The sequence below is a fragment of the Homo sapiens genome, chromosome 7 (genome assembly GCF_000001405.40).
Source record: "Homo sapiens chromosome 7, GRCh38.p14 Primary Assembly".
Taxonomy (NCBI): Eukaryota; Metazoa; Chordata; class Mammalia; order Primates; family Hominidae; genus Homo; species Homo sapiens.
The window spans coordinates 77210361-77221276 of NC_000007.14; the positions used below are offsets into that span (position 1 = coordinate 77210361).

The window sequence follows — 10916 nt, forward strand, 5'->3', positions numbered from 1 at the left end:
TGCTAAACCATAGCAAGAGTGACCTTTATTTCAGTTCCCAATAAGTTCTTCATCTCTATCTGAGATCTCTGCAGCCTGGATTTCACTGTCCATATCACTATCAGCATTTTGATCACAACCATTCAACAAGTCTATAGGAAGTTCCAAACTTTTCCTCATCTTCCTATCTTCTTCTAAACCCTCCAAACTGTTCCAACCTCTGCCCATTACCCAGTTCCAAAGCTGCTTCCACATTTTTACTTAACTTTATAGAAATGCCCCACTTCTCTGGTACCAATTTTCTGTATTAGTCCATTCTCACATTGCTATGAAGAACTACCTGAGACTGGGTAATTTATAAAGAAAAGAGATTTAATTGGCTCATAGTTCCACAGGCTGTACAGGAAACATGGGTAGGGAGGCCTCAGGAAGCTTACAATTATGACAGAAGGCAAAGGGGAAGCCAGCATGTCCTATATGGCTGGGGCAGGAGGGAGAGAGTGTGAAAGGGGAGGTGCTACACACTTCCAAACAACCAGATCTCATGAGAACTCACTATCATGAGAACAGCAAGGGGGATATCTGACCCCTAATGCAACCAGCTCCCACCAGGTCCCTCTCCCAACAGTGGGGATTACAATTCAGCATGAGATTTGGTCAGGGACACAATGCCAAACTATATCAATCTTGTAATAGTTTTTAATCTTTTAAAATTGTGAAGTATATTAGATATACATTAGGGTATCTATAAATGTATAATTCAGACCAAATACCCAAGTAACCACCACCCAGGTCAAAAAATAAAACATTAGCTCTCAGTAATTCCTCTTATCCCCCTTCACCCCCTCTAACATAGCGACTATCCTAACTTTTATTATCATTTTTTTCTTGTGGTTCTTCATAGTTTTACCACCTAAGCATGAATCTCTAAACACCTTCCTTTTGCTGTGCCTGTTTTTTAAACTTGATGTAAATAGAATCATACAAAATGTATTTTTTGTGTCTGGATTATTTAACTCAATGTTATATTTGTAAGAACCATTGATATTATTGCATGTATTTTTCTATTGTATGTTTAGTCCTCTATCTGTTGTATTTCCAATTGACATTAGGATTGTTTCCAGTTTTCAACTATTAGATATAATGCTACTTGAGCATTCTTGTACATGTCTCTCCATATACTTGTACATGCACCTTGAAGGGTTATTCACCAAGAAATGGAATTGCTTTGTTACAGGGTTTGTGCTGCTTCTATTTTATTTTTTTTATTTTTATTTATTTATTTATTTATTTTGAGACAGAGTCTCACTCTGTCACCCAGGCTGGAGTGCAGTGGCGTGATCTCAGCTCACTGTAACCTCCACCTCCTGGATTCAAATGATTCTCCTGCCTCAGCCTCCTGAGTAGCTGGGATTACAGGCGTGCTTTTCCATGCCTGGCTAATTTTTTTATCTTTAGTAGAGATGGGGTTTCACCATGTTGGCCAGTCTGGTCTTGAACTCCTGACCTCAAGTGATCGGCCCACCCCAGCCTCTCAAAGTGCTGAGATTACAGGTGTAAGCTGCCGCATCCAGCCTATTTACTCTTTTAAACACTAACTTCAAACAAATAGCCAATGTCATGCTTAATTGTGAAACTCCAGGAGTGTTCCCATTAAAATCAGAAATAAGGAAAGGGTGCCTGATATGAGCATGATCATTGCATATAATTCACTTTCAAAAAATGAATTATATGCAATGCACTTAGACAGAAAATGATGCATACATATGGGAAAGAACAAATGACCATTATCTGTAGCTGACATAAATGCCTACATAAAAAATACAAAATAATATTATAGTACAGTAAGGTGACTATTTTCAAAATAAATATACAAATACATAGGTTTCCTATTTAATAATAAGTTCAATACATATTGAAGAAAAATATATAGCTTTCCTATTATAATAAGAATAAGCTTTCCTATTTAATAAGAATAACAAGTTCAAAAACATATTGAAGGCTGGGCATGGTGGCTCATGCCTGTAATCCCAGCACTTTAGGAGGCCGAGGTGGGCGGATCACGAGGTCAGGAGATCGAGACCATCCCGGCTAACATGGTGAAACCCTGTCTCTACTAAAAATACAAAAAAACAGCCGAGTGTGGTGGCGTGCACCTGTAGTCCCAGCTACTTCAGAGGCTGAGGCAAGAGAATGGCATGAACCCAGGAGGCGGAGCATGCAGTGAGCCGAGATCACGCCACTGCACTCCAGCCTGGGTGACAGAGCAAGACTCCGTCTCAAAAAAAAAAAAAAAAAAAAATTGAAGAAAAAAATCCCATTCACAGTGATATGTCTCAAATAAATAAACAAATAATAAATAAATAAACAAAAAAGAAAAGAGTAAATTATTCATGGTTATTGGCTAAGCCTGTAAGTGTCATTAGCAGATTCTAGCCTACATGGCAAGAGGTAAGGTAATGTGGTAATGTAATAGAAAATTTTTTTTAAGAAGCTGGGCCATTTGTCCCATAAATTTTTCCATAATCTGGATTTTGCTTAATAGTAAGCCTGTATTTCCATTATAATCATAGAGCCTTAGTGCATAAATGTTTTATCCAGGTCACATTAATTTTTTTTTTTTTTTTTTTTGCCAAGGCTACTTTCTAGGTGGTGCCATCAACTTTGTTTTTTGTTGTTGTTCAAGTTTTTATTAAATTTTTTATTGTCACATGTACATATTTATGGTTTACATAGTGATGGCTTTTTGTGTGGTGGTGGTGGTGGTTTGAGGCAAGATCTCACTTGGTCACCCAGGCTGGAGTGCAGTGGCGCAATTACAGCTCACTGCAGCCTTGACTTCCTGGGCTCAAGCATCCTCCCACCTCAGCCTCCCGAGTAGCTGAGTCCACAGGTGTGCACCACTATGCTTGACTAATTTTTTTTTAACTTTTAGTAGAATCAAGGTCTCACCACATTTCCCAGGCTGGTCTTAAATTCCTGATTTCAATCAATTCTCCCACCTCAGCCTCCCAAAATACTGGGATTACAGACATGAGCCACCTTGCTCTACCCATAGTGATGTTTTGATACTTATAATGTATAGTAATCAGATCGGGTTAATTAGCATAGCTGTCATTTCAAACATTTATCATTTCTTTTTAATTATTATTTTAAATTCAGAGGTTATATGTACAGGTTTGCTACACAGGTATACTGCATAATGTTGGGTTTGGCTTTCTCTTGAACCCATCACATAAATAGTGAATATAGTACCCAGTAGGCAGTTTTTAAACCCTCACTGCCCTCCCTCCCATTCTGAAGTCCCCAGTGTCTATTGTTTCCATCTTTATGTCCATGTGTACCTATTGTTTAGCTCCCACTTATAAGTTAGAAAATGAATACTTTGATTTTGTTTCTGCATTCATTCACCTAGGATAATGGCCTCCAGCTGTATTCATGTTGCTGCAAAGGACATGATTTCATTCTTTTTTATGACTGCATAGTATTCCATGGTGTATATGTATCACATTTTCTTTATCTAATCCTAATGGATGGACACTTAGGTTGATTCCATGACTGCTATGGTGAATAGTGCTGCAATAAATATAAGAGTGCAGGTGTCTTTTTGATAGAATGATTTCTTTTCCTTTGAGAATCCCAGCAGTGGGAGTGCTGGGTCAAATGGTGGTTCTATTTTTAGTTCTTTGAAAAATTTCCATGCTGTTTTCCACAGGGGCTGAACTAATTTACATTCCAACCAGCAGCGTATAAGGATTCCTTTTTTTCCACATCCTTGCCAACATATTATATTTTGACTTTTTAATAATAGCCATTCTGATTGGTGTGAGATGGTATCCCATTGTGGTTTTCATTTGCATTTATCTGATGATGACAAGCATTTTTTCATATGATTGTTTACTCATATGTCTTCTTTTGGGAAGTGTCTGTTCATGTCCTTTGCCCACCTTTTAATGAGGTTATTTGTTTTTTGCTTGTTGATTTAAGTTCCTTATAGATTCTGGATATTTGTCCTTTGTCAGCCTGATAGTTAGCAAATATTTTCTCCCATTCTGTAGATTGTCTGTTTGCTCCATTGATTGTTTCTTTGCTGTGCTGAATCTCTTTAATTAAATTTCATTTGTCAATTTTTGTTGTTGTTGCATTTGCTTTTGAGGTCTTAGTCATAAATTCTTTTTCTAGTCTAATGTTTAAAAGTTTTCTTTTAGGATTTATATAGTTTGAGGTCTTACATTCAAGTCTTTAATCCCTCTTGAGTTAATTTTTATATGTGGTGAGAGCCAGGGGTACCGTTTCATTCTTCTGAATATAGCTAGCCACTTTTTCCAGTACCATTTTTTTGAGTAGGACGTCCTTTCCCAATTGTTTCTTTTTGTCAGCTTTGTTGGAGATCAGTTGGTTGTAGTATATGGCTTTATTTCTGAGTTCTCTGTTCTGTTCCATCGATCTGTGTGTCTATTTTTGCACCAGTACCGTGCTATTTTGGTTACTACAGCCTTGTAGTATAGTTTGAATTCACAAAATGGGATGCCTCTTGGTTGCATGAACTTTCATCAGGAGGCACATGATATTGGTTGTCTCCCTTTTAGTGATGTTACCTGCTATTAATAATACTTGCCTGGGTCTATTAATTCATTAGGAATTTTAAATGACAATATTATAATACTATTATTTTCTCTTCACTTATTTATTAGAATCCTTCTAAAAAGAGAAGCTTCCACTCAGTTATTTGGTTACCCTGCTGTAGAGGCATGATAAATACTTGATTTTCAGGTTTTCAAAATGATTAATTGATTCCCCAGTATCCTTCAAAGGTGAGAGGTGTTGTGGGGTGTTTTTATTTTTTTGGTGTTTTTTTTTTTTTGAAGTATTACTGTGAACTCATTTACTTAAACATAGTTATTCCCATCCTTTATAGTTGTTAGCTCATTGCCAGTCCTCCTGGCCCATTTTTTGGGTAGTGGGAGCCTTTTGACATGACTCCAAATCCCTTTGACATGATTCTAGTAGTCTTGGGTAGATTTTTTGCTTTTCTGATATGACAGAAGCATTGGAGGCTCATTTGTTTCCATGCTCAAAACTTGGAATCAGTCATTTCTCCAAAGGAGCCTCCCCTTTTTCTTTAAGTGGGAAATGGTATTTAGAGACTAGAATCTTGGAGTAAGAGGTACTCATTGCTGCTAGGTTAATCTTTGTTTCTATGCCTTTTTAATGGACAGAACTAGGAAAGATAGATTATGTATATATAAAATACATCATAATATTGCCAATTCAAAGTCAATAATTACACAGGGAATTTATTTAACCTCTTCAGTCTTATAGATGTCTCTTTTCTCCACATCAAAATCCTGATTTTCAATGACATTATGTAATTATTCATTGACTTTATCCCACAGTTTACACATAACTGTTTCAGAATAACACTACTACCAACAATGTGATTATAAAAAAAATAGTTGCAGGTCTTTTTGTCCTTAGGGCAAAATCTACTTAGGATTCCTATTCAAATTGGAATGGTTCCTTCCCATGAAATTATATTTTGATACATAGTTATATTCAATTGGTTTATTTTTTTCAAATTCTAATAATTGCTTCTTAATTTAATAAAGTACTACATTGTTAAAGTATATTTAAAGAATTCTAGCTTGTATCCCTAACCCCCCCACCTTGTTTCCTCCCTTTTCCTGTAACAACTCATTTTAAGGTTTATCCTTTCTTTATATTTATAAATAGTCTTTTTTCAATTCATAGTATAGCTTCTGTAATTTAGGAAGATTTGTGCTTTTGTTATAATGGTGATTTTTATATTCATACCATTATATAATGCCTTTGTCCCCTCTTTTTTGTAATTTTGACCATTATCTCTTAGTTTTATACAGTAAGTTATAGTGAAATTAGCTTCTTCCCCCTCCATTCCTCACAGCATTAATTCGACATAGTATTCTTCTTTGGATACTGTCCGCCCCCAGATGGTGTTTTATTCCTGCCAACCTGGACTACCTAAAGTTTTCTAAATGCGCTTCACACTGCCTCTATGCCATCAGCAAGATTATGTTATTCATTTATAAAAAATAGTTACTGATTCACTAACAGAATCAAGTCCCTACAAAGCCTCAGGCCAGCTTTGTGACCTTGCTCAAGTTTCTCAACCATCTTGAGTTTGGGAATATAGTGGTGAAAAAAAGATGGAAATGGACCCCTCTTAATGGAATTGTCAGTCTTCCATCTCACCAGAAGGAAGAATTATGCAATTTCTCAAGTTTATTTTTGTCTGGATAACTCCTCTCTTAGAATCCCTAGTCTGCTGGTGCTTAACTTGCCTGGAAATAATTTTCTCATTTGTCTACATTACTGGATGTTTACTTCCTATTTGGCTCAAACCTTTGCTAAAATAATTGCTGGGAAAAGTTGTTCAGAATTTGTCTGCATTTCCCTTACAAATTATAATTTGCTTTTTTGTCAAAGCTCATAAAGTACAGTGCCAAAGGGATCATTAACTCCAAGGATAACATATGCAGATAAGAGAAAGGTTTTCATGTTAACTGAATGTTTCCTGTTTTGCAGCCCTAACAACATTTAGCTGACCAACACATTTTCTCACAGTGTCTTCATAATCTTTTTAACTTTTTTTTGTTCTACAGTGTGTGTTTTATTGTATTGAAAGTACATATTAATATCCAAGTAGCAAAATATTTTACTATAATTTTAAAATATTTTGATTAGTGAACAAAGGATCAGATTCATGTTTATATGATCTTTTCATTAAATTATCAAAGGTTAATATGGAAACAGAGTAAGAAAATCTCTAGAATTTTAAAGTATTAAGTTCTAAACCTCAAATGATACAGTCATATAACGTTATGCTCAGGTAGGTACAGAGATGGGCAAGAGAGACAGACACAATCCCAAGGAATAAGACATTCCAAAAAGCTTGTGCAACAGTTTTAGAACCAGGGAGCCATTCTTTCAACCAGGTGAATGACATTTTCTACACACACACACACACACACATATGTATATATATGTGTGTATGTATATGCACATATGTATACATATATATAAAATAGAAATTCAGCTACATATTTATGTTTTAGAAATAGAGCCATGACATTATAAATATATGTGAAAATATATACATATATGTGGAAAATGTCAGTCAACTACAACTTCAAAATATTTTCTACATATATATCCCTGTTAACTATATATACATATATATATATAGAGAGAGAGAGAGAGAGTTATATAAATATATAGTTCTATATGGGTGTAGTCATGTGTCACTTAAGAAGGATATGTTCTGAGAAAAACATTGTTAGACTATTTAATCATTGCGCAAACATCATAGAGTGTACTTACACAAACCTAGATGGTATAGCCTACTATACACTTAGGCTATATGGTGTAGCCTATAGCTCCTAGGCTACAAGTCTGTACAGCATGTTACTGTGCTGATATTATATGCAATTGTGATACAATGGCAAGTATTTAAGTATCTAAATGTATCTAAACATAGAAAAGGTACAGTAAAAATATAATAGAAAAGAAAAAGACATACCTATATAGGGCACTTACTGTGAATGGAGCTTGCAGGACTGGAAGTTGCTCAGAGTGAGTCAGTGAGTGGTGAGTGAATGTGAAGGCCTAGGACATTACTGTACTGTGCTATAGTTTTATGCAACTGTCAGTATAATAAGTTTGTTTACACCAACATCGCTACAACCACATGACCAATGTGTTGTGCTACAATGTCAGGACAACTACACTGTCAGTAAGCAATAGGAATTTTTCAGCTCCATTATAATCTTATGGAACCATCATTGCATATGTGGTCCATCATTGACTGAAATGTCATTTTGCAGCACATGACTGTATGTAGGTATGTGTGTATATTTATATACCTATATATGAATTATAACCTTTGTAATTTATAAGGTTATAATTTATATATAAATTTTATATATTAAATATTATATGCAATAGATACATATGTATGTATATATAAATTATAAAGCAAGGTCCCAATCTCAAATGCCCACAAGGCCCATAAATATATCATGAGTGAGTCAAATAGTTGTCTTGGTATGTGTGCACACATTGAACGAATGGGGCAGACTGTGCCCCTTTTTAAAAGGGTACTCTTATGGTAGCTCTGAAAGTCATGCTGCATTTGCAACAGTGAATCCAGTGGAATATGAATCCAGTGTCATCAAGCATAATAATTTTTGAAGAAAAGTGGAAAACTCAGATTTTTATGGTAAAATCTACCAATTCTCTTTTTTTTTTTTTTGGCAGGGTCTCACTCTGTCACCCAGGTGGCACAATCACAACTCACTGCAGCCTCCATCTCCCAGGCTCAAGTGATCCTCCTATGTCAGCCTTCTAAATAACTGCCATTTTTTTTTATTTTTTGTAGAGATGGGGGTCTCACTATGTTGCCTAGGCTGGTCCCTAACTCCTGGGCTCAAGTGATCCTGCCTCCTCAGCCTCCCAATGAGCTGGGATTATAGACATGAGCCACCATGCCTGGCCCCAATTTTTGAGTGTTGCCAATGAATTCTCTATTTTTTAAAAAAACTTGTGCACACTAAAAGCACCTGCAGAGTGTATTTATACTGTTGATTGTTAATTTGCAATCTGTGGCATGAAATATACTACTACAACATGAATAAGGTCTATCTTACATATTTTAAGAGATTTAAGTACTATCTTACCTTCTTTTTCTGATGTAGAAATCTATAGAAATTGTTTATATATCCTTAAACTGTTATAAACTATCAGTAACAACTGGAAATGTGACATTTCCATGAAATGAGGCAATTTATGTTTGCCAGAAAACACATTAAAATATTTTGTAATGGTCAATTTTGTGAACTAGAAACAGCTGTGTTTGGTGAACTGTTTGTTAGAATCTATTTTTTAAACTTAAAAAAGTTTTCCTTCTACTTTGCTTAGGTATCAAAGTTTGGTATCAAATGAAAAATTTAAAATTATACTTTGTTATGTATGGTTCTATCTGCTTTTTAAAAAACCAAGATAAGCTGAAGAACTGTGTCTCTAAATATCATACAAAACAGTTTTCTTGGAAAACTGTTAATTTCTGAATATTCCCACCCTTTTCCAAGGAAATTCCGGGATAATCTGTTATGAAATTATGATGGGTAATAGCTATTTCTGTTACAAGTCAATTATAGCATTTACAGAGATTTATAAGGTTGCTAACTGGTTCACATTAGTACATAAACTAAAAGATTCTGAGGCTCTAACTTTAGAACTTTTAAATGTAACACTTTATTATCGGGGGAACCAGCCCCCAGTATTTCAATGTAGGTTCTTTTCTATTTTCCCTAAGTGTCAGCTGGTCTGAGAAATAAACAGAAAGAGTACAAAAGAAAGAAATTTTACAGTTGGGTCTCCGGGGGTGACATCACATGTCGGCAAGTTCTGTGATGCCCCCTGAGCCGCAAAACCAGCAAAAAGAGGAGGGAGTGTATGAATAGGGTGTGGGTCACAGAGATCACATGCTTCAAAGGTAATAAAATATCAAAGGGCAGAGAGGCAGATTGAGATCACAAGGGCAGAGAGGCAGAGAGAGATCACAAGTCCAGGGCGAAACTAGAATTACTGATGAAGGTCCATGTCCTGCTGGGCACACATTGTCATTGATAAACATCTTAACAGGAAACAGGGTTCAAGAGCAGACAACTGGTCTGACTAGAATTCACCAGGCTGGAATTTCCTAACCCTAGCAAGCCTGGGGCGCTGCAGGAGACCAGGGCCTATTTCATCCCGTATCTACAACTGCATAAGACAGACACTCCCAGAGCAGCCATTTTAGAGGCTTCCCCCGGGAATGCATTTATTTTCCCAGGGCTGTTCCTCGCTGAGAAAAAGAATTCAGTGATAATTCTCCTATTCGCTTTTGCAAGAAGAGAAATATGACTCTTCTGCCTGGCCCCGCAGGCAGTCAGGCCTTATGGTTGTCTTCCTTGTTCCCTGAAAATCACTGTTATCCTATTCTTTTAGGATGCCCAGATTTCGTATTGTTCAAACACACATGTTTTACAAACAATTTGTACAGATAATGCAATCATCACAGGGTCCTGAGGTGACATACATCCTCAGCTTACGAAGATGACGGGATTAAGAGATTAAAGTAAAGACAGGCATAGGAAATTATAAGAGTATTGATTGGGGAATTGATAAATGTCCATGACATCTTCACAATTTATATTCTTCTGCTGTGGCTTCAGCCAGTCCCTCTGTTAGGGGTCCCTGACTTCCTGCAACACTTTATAATACCCATTTAGTTATTTTTAAACTTCTATTCTTTTGCTCACCAAAAAGTGTTTGTTAGGATTCAAATACTCAGGTGTTGAATTTTCTGCTTTACTCAGGGATTTGAATCTCTTTGATACTTAAATTTGGCCCACCAATCTACTGAAGTGATTTCTGTTGAGTAACTATAGGCTGAGTTGTGTGTTGTTGGAGGCGGATCACATTGAGTTGCAGAATGTATTAGTCCAGTTTCCATTGCTGTAAGGAAATACCTGAGACTGGGTAACTTACAAAGAAAAGAGGTTTAATTGGCTCATGGTTCCACAGGCTGTACAGGAAGCATGGAGGCATCTGCTTCTGGGAAGACCTCAGGGAGCTTTTACTCATGGCGGAAGGCAAAGCAGGAGCAGGCATCTTACCAGGCAGGAACACAAGCAAGAGAGAGGAGAGGGAGGTGCTACACAGTTTAAACCAACCAGATCTCATGAGAACTCTATCACGAGACAGCACCAAGGGGATAGTGCTATACCATTCATAAAGGATCCACCCCCATGATCCAGTCACCTCCCATCAGACTCCACCTCCAACACTGGGTATTACAATTCAACATGAGATTTTTGACAGGGACACAGATCCAGACCACATCATTGACTTTGCCT

The 10916-nt window shown here is 36.5% G+C and overlaps 1 protein-coding gene across 8 annotated transcripts in view; it reads left to right on the top strand.

Moving 5' to 3' along the window:
- CCDC146 (coiled-coil domain containing 146) overlaps positions 1 to 10916 on the top strand; it is a 172590-nt gene that overhangs the window by 87746 nt on the left and 73928 nt on the right. The gene's annotated exons all lie outside the window — the stretch shown is intronic.